We start from the raw sequence: 16,130 nt of genomic DNA, 5'->3' as shown, positions 1-16,130 counted from the left end.
TCTTTCCTCTCACATCCTAAGTGCTGACAAGACATGTGTGGCAGGGAAAGAGAATTTCTTGAGCTTGCCACAGTGGTGTAGGCATATAGGTCATGATCGGCCACCACCAGAGTACAGGCCCAATACCTGGTCACTTCTCTCACATGAAACAAAAGGCATCTACTGCTGATGCTGCAACAAGGAACCCTTCCAACCCTTGGCCCCAGGTGTAGGCCAGCTGCTGAGGTAGAGTTAGACATAAAAGCTGTTTATACTGGACAAGGGGAGGAGACTTGCTCTTGCCCAAGACTTCCCATCATTGAAAGGCAGAGTTCCACTACCCCAAGGGGATGTCACAGGAACACTAGGACTCAGGCATCCGTGGCCTGAGGTTTGGTACACACTCAATCCAATCAGTAAGTGAGTTGGTTTCAGTCAATCATTTGAGTTGGTTGCAGACCCTTTCCTTTAATGAGGAAAAACTGTGATGTGGGTACAAAGCTTCCACGGTCAGAAAAGTTGGCCTTGTCCTTAAGGATATTATATTGATTGGATCCCTCTCAAACTCCTTAAGTTGTGTTTACCATTATTAAAATTAAGTGACATTCACCAGGATTAAGTGGTAATAAAAACAAGAGGTGAGAATTTATAGTGATTTTTGATCCCAAGCCTTGTATCACTGTTGGGCTTTCATGTGTGTACTTGAAAACAAAACATGTGCAATTGTTGCACTGGTTTGAAGATTTTAATGGTGAAAGCAGCCTAATCAGTAATCAGTACCATATCAAGAAACCAATCTTGGAAAGATGTGATTATGCTCTTTTAAAAGAGCTGAAAAGAAGGCCGGGTGTGTTGGCTCATTCCTATAATTTCAGCACTTGGGGAGGCCGAGTCGGGCAGATCACTGAAGGCCAGGAGTTCAAGGCCAGAAGCCTGGCCAACGTGGCGAAACGCTGTCTTTACTAAAAATACAAAAATCAGCTGGGCATGGTGGTGTATACCTGTAATTCCAGTTACTCAGGAGGCTGAGGCAGGAGAATCCCTTGAACCCAGGACTTGAAGGCAGAGGTTGCAGTGAGCCGAGATCCTGCCACTGTACCCCAACCTGGGTGACAGAGGGAGATTCTGTCTCAAAATAAATAAGTAAAATAGCTGAAAAAAATGAAATGACTGTGTGTTTACTCTCACTTTGCTCTTGTTTTGTTGTATAGTATTTAAATAAAAGGAGATTATTTATCCTCATACTGAATTTCCAAAACTGATATTTGCATTTAGCATTTTATTAAATGATGGAGAGAAAATTTAATTGTCTTACTTGGAAAAGTTTGGCATAGGTTCTGTCACATTTTTGATGCTTTCAATCACAGTTCATTCATTAGAATGCTGGCAACTAGTTACCTGCAAGGAGTATCCTAACCACTTTAATACAATGGTTTGAAGTGCTTCAGGCAGTAACTACTGGACAGCCGATCATAGTGTTTTTATTGGTGACATGTTAGAGAGAAATAGAACTTTCTGCAGTACAAATGTCCTATCAACTAATCCTTGTGCTATTAGCTTATAGGGCTTTGACTCCTGGATCTGAAAAAGATACCTCCTTTTGCTAAATCTTGAATATTGACACCAATTAATGCCTCATCTTCAGATCCTGGGGAAGATGAAAATCAAAATGAACTGCTTTCATGAACCAGAAATTGAAACCATTCAATCCCTCTAGGCCCAACAATCCCACATGTCCCGTTTTCCACCTCATGCCCCCTCTTCTTCTAGACAGAAGAGGTGGGCACGTGAGAATTGTAAGGCTGGAATTTGAGGGATAAGTTTAGTTGAGAGACTTTCTTTTCTTTCCCTTTCTTTCTTTTCTTTTCTTTTTTTTTTTTTTTTTTTTCGTAGACACAATGTTTCACCATATTGCCCAGGCTAGACTCAAACTCCTAAGTTCAAGTGATCCACGCACTCTGGCCCTCTGGCCTCTCAAATTCAGAGATTTTCTATAAATTAGACATTACACTCAGAAACACACTGATGCAAGGCCAGCATCTGGGCCCGTGTATTGCAATATCAGGGTTTTCTACAGCATTTATCTACTCTTTAATACAAAAGTATAAAAGGTTATGAAAGGTTTTTGGAACTCTTACCTCATGTTCAAACTGATTATAATTAAATTTGTGTATAAGGTTTTACTAAAATTAGCTTTAACATTTTAATACACCACACAAAGGTAAAATTTGGTTTTCTCTTTTGATCAAAATGTTTGTGCAGTATTAATAATACATAAAATATTTTTGTTTACTTTCAAAGTAAACTGCAAGGCAAAACAATGAAAGGGAGAGACGGATAGAGTTGGCCTCATGTCTTCATTAGTTCTTACTGTTTAGAAAACTCAGCCTCCTTTGTATCAAAGGGTGAACATTTTTGTTTTATCATTTTGGCTGAATGACTGACTATTCTAAGGTGATCTGTGATCCTATTTTGTGATGTCAAGTGTCTCAAAACTTTGATATCTGGCAAAATTTCTAAGAGTAAAATTTCTAAATTCAGCCTTTTGGGCCTCAAATTAACTTTTTGGATATTAGGTTCTTGAAGTCCAAGAGAGATATATTAGGCTTCTTAGGCTTATTTGTTATGTAGAATTATGCAAGAAGCATTGTCATATCTGAGGTGGTGTTTCACTTCCTTTGGGTTCTATTGACACAGATGTGTTGTTAATGTGTGTTCCAGGATTGTATGAGATTCCTAGAGTTCTGCTATGCTGTCAGTAATAATTATGATTATTATGTTAAATTGTTGTGTGCCACAGAAGCAACAGAATTCCCTTGTCAATTGTATCTATAACCATGGTTGTCTTAAGGCTTTTGTCATCCACAATTGTTGTTTTGCTTTGATTCTTCTTAAAAAGTGACTTATAATCAGTTACATTCCAGGCGTTGCTTCTTTGGGGAAGTCCATGAAAAGGACTCTTGGATGCAGGTTTCTGATAACTTTGGAGATTGTGCCATTGAACTTAAGAGAAAATTTCCAGGGCACTAATAGAAAGACTGATGTGTTCATAGAGATTGCTAGCTGAATATGACAGAGCACGAGTTGATTGCATGGATCAAACTAATGGAGGACTGAAATAAGTTTTTATGGCCTTTGTTTGTTTCAAACATTGTTGATTCTTCAGAGTCTGGAGAACTTGTTTCCTTTTGAGCTATTTATAGCCTGCAACAATTGAGTAGAATAGTCTTCTAAACAGAATTTGAGGCATATTTTTCTCTGTCTGCCGAATTTCCACAGAATTTGTAAACTGAATATTCTTAACTCATGACAATGTGTTTGTTTGCATAAGTTCAATAAGATTCTGTTTTCTTTTATAACAGGACACAGGTGGAGGAATTGGTAATTTTCCCAGGGCTTTGCCTGAAATGGCGTTGTGAAATATTCCAGCAAAGCCTATTTAGGAGAGCCTGTATGAACAAGGATTCTTGCTGCACTTTGTGTGGGTAATCAGGCCAAGTATATTGGACTGAAGCTTCTTTAGGTTGGTCCTGCTGTGTTTTGTCTTTAGTGGAAATGGGGAACTGGACAGAGGAAGATTGTGTTTCAGGAGAAACTACAGTATTAGATGAATGTTTGATTCCTGGGTGGCCATGCAGTCACCCATGGTGTGAAGCTGCTCAGGATGCCCCTCCTCCACATGATGCAGCCAGAAAGATGGATGATCAGATTCCCCATGATTGAGGAACTGACAAATAGAAAGTGGGGACTGAAATCAACCCAAGAGTCCCACAGACAGTGTTTTTGGATAGACATAGAAATGGACCCTTCTGGTCTTAAAGCTTGAAACTTAGGACATTTGTTTTATCTGAGTTCCTTCCTCAGCAAAGGCCTCTCAGGCCTCTCAAAAAGCGTCATAGACCTGAAACTCAGCAGATGACAGCCTCCAGACAATGAGATGCCAGACCCCTCACTCATCATGAGTGCTTCCTCACCCTTCCCTAGTTCCTCTTTTCCCACCCACAGTTACAGTTCTTCCCTGCTACATAAACCCCTCACTTTAGTTGATCAGGGAGATTGATTTAAGACTGATCTCCCATCTCCTCAGCTGCAACACCCAATTAAAGCCTTCTTCCTCAGCAATACTCAATGTCTTAATGATTGGCTTTCTGTGAGCTGAGCAGCAGGGCCTAGACCGAATTCCTGGGCTTTCAGTAACAATACGTGTTTACTTTTAAAGACTGAAATTAATGGGTCATGATATATTGAGAAACTGGAATGGCATCAACTTGGCCAATTCTGAGAAAACACACTGTGCTTAAATGTCAGGGGCCTGCCTCCTGACCTGGACAGTATATGGCTGATTTTGAGTCAAAATAGGAGAGTATGGCCTGGTTTGAGTGTTTTACAGAAATGTAAAACATGGCTGATTGCTTTTATTTTAAATCCAACAAATCTCCATTTCTGGTGAGAAAATTTTGTTAAAACCAACCAACCAAACAAACATAGAAGTATATGAATAAAAAAATAAAGGATTCCCTGCTTCCCAATCTCACTTGATTGCTGTCTTCTGTTATATACTACAGGGAGGAAGGGGGCAAGGTGCCCAGGAAGTCCCACGTCCTGTTTTGACAATCATCTGGCCTCCTTGGGCAAATGGAAAAGAGGGAAAGCATAAAGAAAATAACAGAAATTTTGCAGATATTTCATCTCCGGGCTGGGTGCGGTGGCTCACGCCTGTAATCCCAGCACTTCCGGAGGCCAAGGCGGGCGAATCACTTGAGGTCAAGAGTTTGAGACCAGCCTGGCCAACATGGCAAAACCTCATCTCTACCAAATATACAAAAATTAGCCGGACATGGTGGCCCATGCTTGTAATCCCAGCCACTGGGGATTACAATCACTTGAACCCGACAGATGGAGGTTGCAGTGAGGGGAGATCACCCACTGCCACTGCATTGCACTCCAGTCTGAGCAACAGAAGGAGACTCTGTCTCAATGAAAAGAGAGGAAGGGAAGGGAAGGGAGGGGAGGGGAGGGGAGGGAAGGGAAGGGAAGTTAATCTCGGCACAGGAAACTCTGCCACCGAAGCTTGAATGAAAGAAAGAAAGAGAGAGAGAGAAAGGAAAGAAGGAATGAAGGAAGGAAGGAAGGAAGGAAGGAAGGGAGGGAGGGAGGGAGGGAGGGAGGGAGGGAGGGAGGAAGGGAGGGAGGGAGGGGAAGGGAAGGAAGGAATTTCACCTCGGCACAGGAAACTCTATGACCGAGGCTTCAAGGGCTCTTCTCTGGCCCTAAACCCACAGTGGATTTTGCCTCTTTTTCCGGGGTGCAAATGAAATGACAGAAGTCGATCAACGGAGAGGGCAGAGAGAAAGCAAGAAGGATGGCTCCTTCCTGCAGGTCCACCTACCTTAAGTGTTGCTTGTGGAATCTAAAGAAATGCCTTAACATGGGTGGGTGGGAACTAATTCAGACACCTTTAACAACTTTATGTTGCATGGTTCCATGGTGTAATGGTAAGCACTCTGGACTCTGAATCCAGCGATCCGAGTTCGAGTCTCGGTGGAACCTTTGTGTTTCATTGGCATGGTAAGGCCGTGTTTTACTTCCTAAATGGAATGGAGATTCCGCTGATGTTCAGAAGCTCTGCGCTGCAGGTCTCGGTGTCCCTTCTGCTCCCGCTGTCTCAGCCTCGCGATGTCACCCTCTTCGTCTCCCTCTTCGGTGTTCGGGGTCCCAGAAACCGAGTTATCACAGTGGCCCGGACCACGGGGAAATTGCTGAATCATCCTGTTGGGATCACCGAGCCTGCAGGGTCCCCTTCCTGGGCGAGCCTCCTAGCCCCGTGCAATCGGAGGCCCGGACCCCCCCCGCCAGGGACCCAGCGACCCAGGAAGTCCCCACCCCTTCTCAGGGCGACCTGGGCCTCGGACATTCGGGCAACACTTGACTCATGGTCTTGTGGTATATCTACAGAGAGAAGAATGTATATTTTAGCTAGACTGTCCCCCCACAGGCCCTACAAAAGGAAAAAGAAGGAAAAATAATAAAGAAGGATATATATACCTGAAAAAATTATAAAATAATAAAAATATATATTGTATATATTTAAAATATATAAAAATTATATATTAAATATAATTATACATTTTAAAAATATATTAAAAATATATAAAAGCATATATAAAAGCATCCATTTCAAGTTTGATGACGTGTTTATTACTTTAAAAGGTCCTCCTGTGCCCTTGCAGTCAGTCCCGCCCTCCCCCTACCCCAGCAATCAATGATGTATTTTCTATCACTATACAGGTTAGTTTTACCTGTTCTAGAAATTCACCTTGATGGCGCCACACAGGATGCACTCTTTTCATCACTCGGCATAATGTTTTTGAGATGATCCATTTTATCTCATGTTTCCGTAATGTGTCCCATTTTATTGCTGGGTAGTTCGGGTAGTTGGGGTAGATCGCAGCACATTCTGCCGACAGGTGAGACTGCGATTCCGACCTACGGGCCTTGGTTAATATAAGCAAGGGCACCTGGGCGCGGGGAGAGCCGTTCCCCTACAGAAAGCAAGCGTGTTGTGTCTACAACGGAACGGGGACACTGCTCTCATCCCAAAGAACAGCACCCGTCTGCGTAGAGTTTCTACCTGGCTCTAGGAGGTGAGAACACATTCCCTGCTAGCACAGAAATCCTACAAACTACTGCGGGGGCTGCGGTTAGAAGCAGAGGCTGTGTGAAGGGTGACTCTGGAGGCTACGAAAAAACACGAAGGTTTTCACAGAGAACCCAAGAGACTGGAGACCATGAAGCAAAGTCTGCAAAAAGCAGCCCCACATAGAAAGGTTGGGGAAGAGCCCTGCGGCCACTTAGTTTGTGTTAAATAAGCTCACGACAGCGGCGGAGAGGACCGTAACGCGATACTTTCTGTTTCTCACGCTTGAGACAGTAAGGACGACACTTAACATGCCGTCAAAGCTACAAACCCATAGAAACTAAGAGTAGCCCTTCGCGTAGAGCTCACGTTTTGCACTGCAGTATCTCAGCGGAATTCACTAACGCAGCCCCCCCCACTACCACAAATTATGCAGTGGAATTTCCTACATTTAGGAAAATCGCAAGAATCAGTACACACAATAGAAAAAACCTCACTCTGGAAAAACGATCTTCACAATACTATCTTCCCTCCCAGGTAACTACGGATTTGCACACCTCCGCCCCGCCACAGCTCCATACGCCTCAACCTTTACACGCACGGTCACTTGCCCCGCGCGTCCCCGAGCCCTCCTAGCCCTGACACACAGCTGGGACTCTGAGGTCCGACCAGCTGTCCTGGACTCGCTCCCACAGCACGGAACTCCTTCGTGGCGAAGCAGCAGGTGGAGAAGCAGCGGCCCCTGCGCTGCCTCATCTACATAGAAGTCGCCCTATCCGTGATGTCACCGACAGCGCCTTTCCCGTCTCCGTCAACTTTCCCGCCCCATCTTCCGCCACTCAGCCGACTAACATGCTACCAGAGCCTGTCCACCCTTCTTCAAATAATGGTTTGTAATGCGCAGACTAAAACATGTTGGATTACACAAGAAACCGGTTCTCTTCCCATCGTTATTCTTCTGATGTAGCATTCTACTTGAAATTGGAAGCCGTTCAGTATCAGAGAGAAACCATATCTATGAAACTAGAGATGCTGCTCAGATGACTGCAAACCAGCCATCCTTACTTGTTTTACCACTAGTAGTGTTATAAGGACAGTGGTCCAATTTCATGAATCTTGTAGGGTTTTTTCAAATACAGCAATGTACAAATATGCTGTCCCAGCAGAGCACGCTGGACACGCAGGCATGGTGCTGGAGTTTGTCATCTCTTCCACCTTCTCTAGACCTTAGCACTTAACCTCATGTTAGCACTTTATATTCTGCAAAGAGAGAAACAAGGTGGTCCAAATTTGGAGAAAAAAAAATTGGGGGGAAATTTTGAGGTGCTCAACTGATTACTTTTAATCTGTAGAATACAACCCCAAACTCTGACAATACTCCACAGACTCCAAATCTATCAGGCGAGTTTTTCCTGTCCTTTGCTTTCATATAAATCAAATCATAAAGTGTGTAGTGGGTTTTGTGGGAATATAACTGCCCAATGGGTTCACGTTGCCTGCTGCCTAGACAGAACCAATTTATCAAGACAGGGGAATTGCAATAAAGAAAGTTATTTACCCAGAGCCAGCTGTGTGGGAGATCAGAGTTTTATTATTACTCAAATCAGTCTTCCTGAGCATTCTAGGACCAGAGTTTTTAAGGATAATTTGGTGGTTGGGGGCCAGTGAGTTGGGAGTTCTGATTGGTCAGGTCAGAGATGAACTTACAGGGAGTTAAAGCATGCTCTTGAGCTGGGTCAGTTCCTGGGTGGGGGCCACAAGATCAGATGAGCTGGTTTATCCATCTGGGTGGTGCTAGCTGATGCATCGAGTGCAGGACTACAAAATACCTCACGCACTGATCTTAGGTTTTACAATGCTGATGTGATCCCCAGGAACAATTTGGGGAGGTTTAGAATCTTATAAGCTGGAGGCTGCATGACTTCTAAACCATCATTTCTAATCTTGTGACTAATTTGTTAGTCCTGCAAAGGCAGTCTAGTCCCCAGGCAGGAAGGGGGTTTGTTTTGGGAAAGAGCTGTTATCATCTTTGTTTCACAGCTAAACCATAAACTAAGTTCCTCTCAAAGTTATTTTGGCCTGTGCCCAGGAATGAACAAGGACAGCTTGGACGCTGGAAAAAAGATGGAAGCAGTTAGGTCAAACCTCTTTTGCTGTGATAATTGTCCCAGTTATAATTTTTGCAAAGTCGGTCTCAGGAGCAGAGGCATAGGTTTGACTTCTTTCACTCAGTCTTACATCTATGAATTTTTCATGTTATTCATGTGGTTATTTGTTTCTGTGCGTATTCCTTTGTATGAATATAGGCCAACTTATTTATTTATTCTACTGTTGCTGAACATGTTGACCTAAAAGAAAGACCCTGAAGCACAAAATATAATTTAGAGTTTACTTGAGCCAAAGTGAAGGCAGCTGCCGGGAAGACTCACACCCCAAGAACCTTGGATCTGAGCTCCCTTTGGCCTTTGTCACAAACAGGTTTTTAAAGGTCAAAAAGGGGGACACACAATGAGCTGATGGAAAGGTGGCTGTCAGGAATTCTCATTGGTTTTCAGAAATAGTGTTGATGAGAGCTTGGCTATCCGTTGTAATAGGGTGTGGGATACAGTGTTTGGTGTGGCATTATTAGATTAATTTACAGCTAACTGGGGTGATAGCAAACAGTTTCAACAGTTGAATACATAGCTCAAAAGGAAGGAAGCAGAAAGTGGTTGCTGTCTTGATTTAATGTGTCTCTGATCATGTGAAGTGGCTCACATTCCTCAGATAAGAATTCTTTAAAAAATCTTTCTTCTTGAAAGCACTGATGATCAAAAGCTCAGCCAAGGTGTCCCTCTTTGCCAGGAAGGCTCATTCCCAGATAGTCTTTCCCACGCTGAGGGCAGGGGAGGAAAGGAGCTGCCTCACTGAGGAATTTTTAAGAGCACCCAAAAGCCCAATTGAAAGGGTGACACCGAGTAGAAAAAAAAGAAAAAGAGAAGAAAAGAAAAAAAAGAGGAGAGAGAGACCTTAGTTAAGTCTGCAGCTATCACTTGTTGAATCATTTCTAGTCTTCAGATACCATAAAATCAGTTTTCTCAGAAGTAAAGCAGTAAATATATAGCATTAATTATTTGAATAGTACACATATAATTCACACAAGAATGAGAATCACAAAGAGAATCTGTATGCCAGAACAGTAAGGGAACCTATTCCATTAGGGAGCCAACGAAAAACATCAGGGAAAACATCACATCCCAGTTCTTCTTTCATGATTTCTTGTAGCCAAATGACTTCTAATTTTTTCTAGATGAGGTTCTACTTCATGGGAAGTATTTATTTATGTATATGCAACCAGAGGTTGTAAACACCACACATCCACCTCCCTGCTCAGCTAAATCTATCATCTAAAGCGGGCTGCGGAGGCTGCTGCTGCTGGGGCTCTCCCCTTGGTGTTCTGGGCTGCATTGTACTAAGTGGAGAAGGTGGTTGTGGGCAAGCGTTGTGCAGAGATCACAACCAGGTGGGCAGGGGGCTGCTCTCTCCACACTATCAGTTGACAATGTACAATTCCTTCTATGAACTCTTGTAAGTGCTGCTGTATGTACCCATTGTTTTTGTTTTGTTTTGTTTTGTTTTTGTATTTTGAGACAGACTCTCTGTCTCCCAGGCTGGAGTACAGTGCCACGATCTTGGTTCACTGCAACCTCTGCCTCCTGGGTTCAAGCAATTCTCCTGCCACAGCTTCTCAAGTTGCTAGGACTACAGGCACATGACACTGCACCCAGCTAATTTTGTATTTTTAGTAGAGATGGGGTTTCACCATGTTGGCCAGACTTGTCTCAAACTCCTGACCTCAGGTGATCCACCCACCTCGACTGCCCAAAGTGCTGGGATTACAGATGTGAGCCACTGAGCCTAGGTTCTACCCATTTTTAAATAAGGCTAATAGTGTCTTTGAAAATATTTGTCATCTAAAGTGATGCAATTATCTAGTACAACCTTAGCCAGTGAATGAATAGCTTTTTTTTGAGCTGTGAAAGAGGCTACAGTTTTATCAGCAATATTTCTTTCTTTCTTTTGTCTTTCTTTCTTTCTTTCTTTTTTTTTTTTTTAAGACATGGTCTTGCTATGTTGCCCAGGCTAGATTTCAGTGGTGCAGTCTCAGCTCAATGCAGCCTCAACCTCCTTCTCTCAAGCAATCCTCCCACCTCAGCCTCCCAAGTAGCTGGGACTACAGACATGCACCACTATGCCTGGCTAATTTTGGTTTGTGTTTGTTTGTTTTGTTTGTTTGTTTAGAGACAGGGTCTCACTATCTTGCTCAGGATGGTCCCAAATTCCTACGCTCAAACAATCCTCCCACCTGAGCCCCTCAAAGTGCTGGGATTACAAGCATAGGCCCCCAAGCCTGGACTCTTTATTTTTCTTTCAAAGAGGAAGAGTGGCTCTGTCGCCCAGGCTGGAGTGCACTGTCACTGTCATAGCTCACTACAGCCTGGAACTCCTGGGTTTAAGTGATCCTTCCACCTCAGCCTCTGAATCACTGGGATTATAGGCCAGAGCCACCATGCCCAGTTTTTATCAGCAATGTTACCTAAGGCTAAAGAAGGATTTCTAACCATGGAAAGCAACATCCCATCAAAGCAAAAGCATGCTCCCCTGAAAATGTTTGGAGTTATTTCTTAATGGCCAGGCAGATAATTAGCAAATTTTCCCCCAACAGGATCTCCATCTATTACTAAAATAGAGTGGTGGGCATGCCTAGTGAAAAGCTTGAGGACACTCATCCAATTTTTTGTTTGTTTGGTTGGTTGTTGTTTTTTTTTTTTTTAAGATGGAGTCTCACTCTGTCTCCTAGGCTGAAGCCCAGTGGCATGATCTTGGCTCACTGCAACATCTGCCTCCTGGGTTCAAGTGATTCTCCTACCTCAGCCTCTTGAGTAGCTGGGAGTACATGTGAACACCACCATATGCAGATAATTTTTGTATTTTCAGTAGAGACGGGGTTTCACAAAGTTGGCCAGGCTGATCTCGAACCCCTGACCAGAGGTGATCCACCCGCCTCGGCCTCCCCACTCATCCAATGTTGGATTTCTTCAGAGCTATATATGTATAGCGGTGACCAAATATCCTAAAAGACATTGCACTTCATCATTCCATGCCTTCAGACATTTAAGGGCCATGGATGGTGATCTCCTCCAGAGACAAAATAAATGCTGGTGCACAACAGGTAAGTGTAGTATAATTTGGGTACATCAGCTTTCGGCATTTAAACTATGGGTCAGACATGTTAGAGCAAGAGGGCAGGTTGGATCCTGATTGCAGGAGGGAGTGTTTTTCTCTTAACTTTCCAATAGCATCATGGTGTTTACCACTGCTATTTCAGAGTGAGGCAACATTTTTTGTTTGGTTGGTTTTGTTTCGGATTTTTGTTCCTTTTCAGCCACGGTCTCACTGTTGCCCACACTGGAGTGCTGTGACAAGATCACAGGCCAGTACAGTCTTGACCTCTTGACCTTCAGGGCTCAATGAATCATCCTACCTCAGCTTCCCAAGTGCTGGAGTTACAGGGACACACCACCACCATGCCCAGCTTATTTATTTACTTTCTGAGACAGGGTCTCACTCTTTTGCCCAGTCCGGAGTGCAGTGGTGTCATCAGAATTCACTGCAGGCTCGAACTCCTGGGCTCCAGTCATCCTCTCACCTCATACTCCTGAGTAGCTGGGACTAAAAGTGGGCACCACCATGCCCAGCTAATTTTTGTATATTTTGTAGAGACAGGGTTTCACCACTTTGCCCAGGCTAGTCTCAAACTCCTGGGCTCAAGTGATCCTCCTGCCTTGGCCTCCTAAAGTGCTGGGATTACAGGCAGTTATTTTGACGTACAATTGTGATGGGTTAAACTGAAACATGGGGCAAGAAGGTTAGGATGAGTCAGACAGATTCGATAAACAGGTTTTGCTTGATGTGACCCTGATTTGCATTGTCAGTGCAATCAGGAGGAATTTACAACTTAAAGGAGCCCTAACAGTGTATGTATTCCAGTCAATAGAAAAAGAGACCAACTCTTTCAGTTGCAGTAAGCACTGGAATTGTGAATAACTGCTTATACAGGCCGGTATGTTGGGCGAAATTGTACCATAACAGATGTCAGCTACTCGCCATCTTGGTTAGGAAGATTGCAGGTCACCTTTAAGTGAAAACCTCCACTGACAGATGTCCACTGTGGTAGGGTTGCCTTTTAGATATGAGAAACATGAATCTGTGTGTCAATGCCCTTATGTTTACTGCCACAGAGATTGGGAAATAATACCTGATGTGAGCCAGGTGCAGTGGCCCGCACCTCTGGTCCCAGCTAGTTGGGAGACTGAGGGAGGAAGATGGCTTGATCCCAGGAGGTAAAGGCTACAGTGAGTTATAATCACACCACTGCATTCTGGCCTGGGCAACAGAGTGAGACCCCATCTCAAAAAATAATAATAATAATATTAATAATACCTACGTGGTGCTCTCCAGTGGACTTGGAGGGAATATTTTATTTGATGTTGTTTCCAGTATTTGATGTTGTCTCCAGTTTATAGGCATAATTTTTTATATTTTCATCCCTCAGCAGCTCATTATGAAAGGAATATTTTATTAATTTGGAGCTCTTGGTAAGAAGTTTTGTGAGAACTTAGCAATAATGGAGAATGTTACCTTTAAGAAGTGCAGGTTCATAAGCCCCTTCATCTAACCACTGCATGGGTCTTCCTGTTATTATTTCAAAGGGAGGGAGTGGAAGTTTTCCAGAAACAGTGGGGGATCTTTGGCCAGGGAAGGTTAAAAACTTCTGTTATCTTTGTCAATTGAGTTTTTATTGTATCATTATTGAGTTGCACTAGTCCAGAGGATTAGGGGTGACAGGCACAATGGGAATGTTGGGACATAGGCTAAACATTACAAATGGATCCAGCTACCTGCCTGATAAAGTGTGTTCCTCGGTTGCTATGTAGATCAGATGGCATTCCCCATGAGGAATGATTTTTTTCTAATCACAGTCTACCTGCTACTTGGGCTGTGGCTCATCAGTATGGAAATGCTTCACCCCAGTGAGAGCACATATAAATTAGCACCAGAAAGTATCTGTGACCCTGAGATGGAGACAGCTGGATAAAGTCTAACTGCCATGTCTCAAAGGGTCCTAAAGTTAAAATGTCCCTGTGACCCATGAAGGGGTTTTCCAGGATTATGTTTGGGACAGAACAGATAGTACTACAAGAATAAACCTCTTGTGCAATCATAGGCGATGGTTTTCAATAGCACTGCTTTCCCCATGCTATCATTTAGTCTGAATTCCAATGAGTCAGCTTATGAACTACTTTAAAAAGGGTAATTGAAGCCTAAGGGGTAGATCAGTGTATCATTGGGCCCATACCATACGCCTGTTTCTGAAGAAAAACTTGTTCCCTTTATCTTGCCAGAGATCTATCTTCTGCTTGGGAGATCCCACGTGTGCTTCTTCTAATAACGTTTTCAATGGGTCATAAGTCAGCAAGGTCATTTAGAGAAGTTCTGTGTCTCTTGTCACCTTCAGAGCTGCATTCTTAGCTGCAGCATCAGCAAAATGGTTGTCCTTGCTCTCCAGAGTACCTAATTTTGAATGACAAGGAATTTTGATGATGGCCAAAGATTTGGGTTTTCAAATTGCTCCTAAGAGTTCAGAGACTTATTGGTCATTTTTGATGGGTTGACCTGGTGAAATAAGAAACCTAGGTTGCTTCTAAAGCATTCCAAAATCACCACCTTCTCCAAATGCATCTCCGTGGTCAGTGTAAATATTAGGCTGACGCGGGAGGATTGACTGAGCCCAGGAGTTCAAGACCAGCCTGGAAACCAAAGTGAGACCTCCTCTCTATAAAAAGTTGAAGAATTAGCCAGGTGTGGTGGCATGCACCTGTGGCCTCATCTACTCGGAGGCTGAGGTGGGGGGATTGCTAGAGCCCAGAAGTTTGAGGCTGTGGTGGGCCATGATGGAGCCACTGCACTCCAGCGTGGGTGACAGAGTGAGAACCTGTTTCAATAAATAAATAAATAAATTATTTTCAACCATTTAAAATATCAATGACAGATTTATTTGGCCTTTTAAGTGCATTGCTAAATTCTCCTCCAATCTACTTCTAAATCTAAAGCAGAGCCTGCTTTAGAAAGAGAAGAGGAAAATGTATTTCAATTTAGAAAAGGGAAGTCTTTTACAATATTCTTAATTCACATTATGGTGAAGCAGTATACACAATAGCAGGCTCCCCTCTTCCTGTGGGTTTTACCTTGAAAGGGGCTGCCAGAACAGAACTTTCAGGGAAGGGGCCAGAGCCCTGGGGACTTTCCTCAGGTGATGGTGATGGAAGAAGAGGCAAGGCAGGACAGGAGGGCTCAGGTAAGGGAGACTATGCAGGTGCAGGGGCAGGAGGAAAAGGAGCAGTTGGAGGCGAAAGAGACAAAGCCTCCTCAATATTTCTCAATTCAGAAAAAGCATCAGATATCCCCAGTTTAAATCCTCAATGGAGGCAATTTTCTCAGTAGTTCTTTTAGAAATTTCTAGGTATCATTGGAAGTAAGTCTCCCATTCAATTTGCCTGATTCTAAAACCAAATTTTTCCAATTGTGTGCCCTAATAAATTATTTTAGTCATTTCAAAAGATCCCCATTTTCTCCATTCTACTTATGAGTTTTTCTGGTTAGGTGGGTCAGGTTTCTTGGATATTTACAAGAGGATGCTTCATAACTGTTATACAGAAACTCAGCTGGTGGTTCTAAACGCGGTTGTTTCTTCAAAGTATGCTCAGATTTTGAAGCTTGATTTCCCATAATTCAGGAGCTTTGCAAAGATGACCAAAATCTGGGATGTGTTTTGGGTCACAGTGTCCTGCTTATGTAGTCACTCCTACAGATATCACCGGAGTTGTGTATCACTGTCTCAGTGGCTCCCACTGTTTCTAACCACCAGGTGGCCACAGAGTGCATCTGCTCTGGGGGACCCATCGCTCATATACCCTCCCATAAGAGCAGGAAAGGGGATTCATAAAGACGTTCTTCTGATGGGGAATGCTCTACGAGGCCGCCTTCACATGGTGAGTAGTGACCGTGACACCTCTGCAGCGTCCCTGGTCACTTGTAGCCCCTGAAAGGGTCATCGGGAGCAGATCACTTCTTTTCTTCAGGGCTGGAGAAAGTACCTCCGTGCATTTTCCAGGTAAGAACTAACAGGGGCCGGGCACATTGGCTTACGCCTGTAATCTCAGCCCTTTGGGAGGCCGAGGTGGGCAGATCACCTGAGGTCAGGAGTTTGAGACCAGCCTGAACAACATGGAGAAACCCTGTATCTACTAAAAACACAAAATTAGTTGGGCGTGGTGGCACGTTTGTAAAACCAGCTACTTGGGAGGCTGAGGCAGGAGAATCACTTGAACCTAGGAGGCGGAGGTTGCGGTGAGCCGAGATCCCGCCATTGCACTCCACCCTGGGCAACAAGAGCAAAACTCCATCTCAAGGA

At 43.6% G+C, this 16,130-nt stretch overlaps 1 non-coding gene and 1 pseudogene across 1 annotated transcript, besides 6 other annotated features; one reads left to right on the top strand and one right to left on the bottom strand.

Moving 5' to 3' along the window:
- Nucleotides 5,164-5,823: an enhancer, noted in NCBI's record as "H3K27ac hESC enhancer chr1:147737088-147737747 (GRCh37/hg19 assembly coordinates)". NCBI's record gives its function as "activates a minimal SCP1, AML or CMV promoter by ChIP-STARR-seq in naive H9 embryonic stem cells {active_cell/tissue: H9 hESC(naive)}" and the evidence as "EXISTENCE:reporter gene assay evidence [ECO:0000049][PMID:30033119]".
- Nucleotides 5,164-5,923: a biological region, named in NCBI's record as "Sharpr-MPRA regulatory region 3868".
- Nucleotides 5,434-5,513: a silencer, noted in NCBI's record as "silent region_1284". NCBI's record gives its function as "represses an Ori minimal core promoter by ATAC-STARR-seq in GM12878 lymphoblastoid cells {active_cell/tissue: GM12878}" and the evidence as "EXISTENCE:reporter gene assay evidence [ECO:0000049][PMID:35858748]".
- Nucleotides 5,458-5,529, top strand: TRQ-CTG4-1 (tRNA-Gln (anticodon CTG) 4-1). Its single transcript has one exon. It is a non-coding gene; the product is annotated as a tRNA-Gln (tRNA).
- Nucleotides 5,628-5,923: an enhancer, noted in NCBI's record as "tiled region #3868; HepG2 Activating DNase matched - State 23:Low, and K562 Activating non-DNase unmatched - State 1:Tss". NCBI's record gives its function as "activates a minimal TATA promoter and a strong SV40 promoter by Sharpr-MPRA in HepG2 cells, with weak activation in K562 cells {active_cell/tissue: HepG2 | K562}" and the evidence as "EXISTENCE:reporter gene assay evidence [ECO:0000049][PMID:27701403]".
- Nucleotides 5,681-5,866: a silencer, noted in NCBI's record as "fragment chr1:147737046-147737230 (GRCh37/hg19 assembly coordinates)". NCBI's record gives its function as "represses an EF-1alpha promoter that drives an FKBP-Casp9 reporter gene in an ReSE screen in K562 erythroleukemia cells {active_cell/tissue: K562}" and the evidence as "EXISTENCE:reporter gene assay evidence [ECO:0000049][PMID:32094911]".
- Nucleotides 6,486-7,145: an enhancer, noted in NCBI's record as "NANOG-H3K27ac-H3K4me1 hESC enhancer chr1:147735767-147736426 (GRCh37/hg19 assembly coordinates)". NCBI's record gives its function as "activates a minimal SCP1, AML or CMV promoter by ChIP-STARR-seq in naive H9 embryonic stem cells {active_cell/tissue: H9 hESC(naive)}" and the evidence as "EXISTENCE:reporter gene assay evidence [ECO:0000049][PMID:30033119]".
- On the bottom strand, nucleotides 7,005-7,161 carry RNVU1-22 (RNA, variant U1 small nuclear 22; annotated as a pseudogene).

The sequence above is a fragment of the Homo sapiens genome, chromosome 1 (assembly GCF_000001405.40).
Source record: "Homo sapiens chromosome 1, GRCh38.p14 Primary Assembly".
Classification (NCBI taxonomy): Eukaryota; Metazoa; Chordata; class Mammalia; order Primates; family Hominidae; genus Homo; species Homo sapiens.
This window is presented reverse-complemented; position numbering and strand designations above follow the sequence as displayed.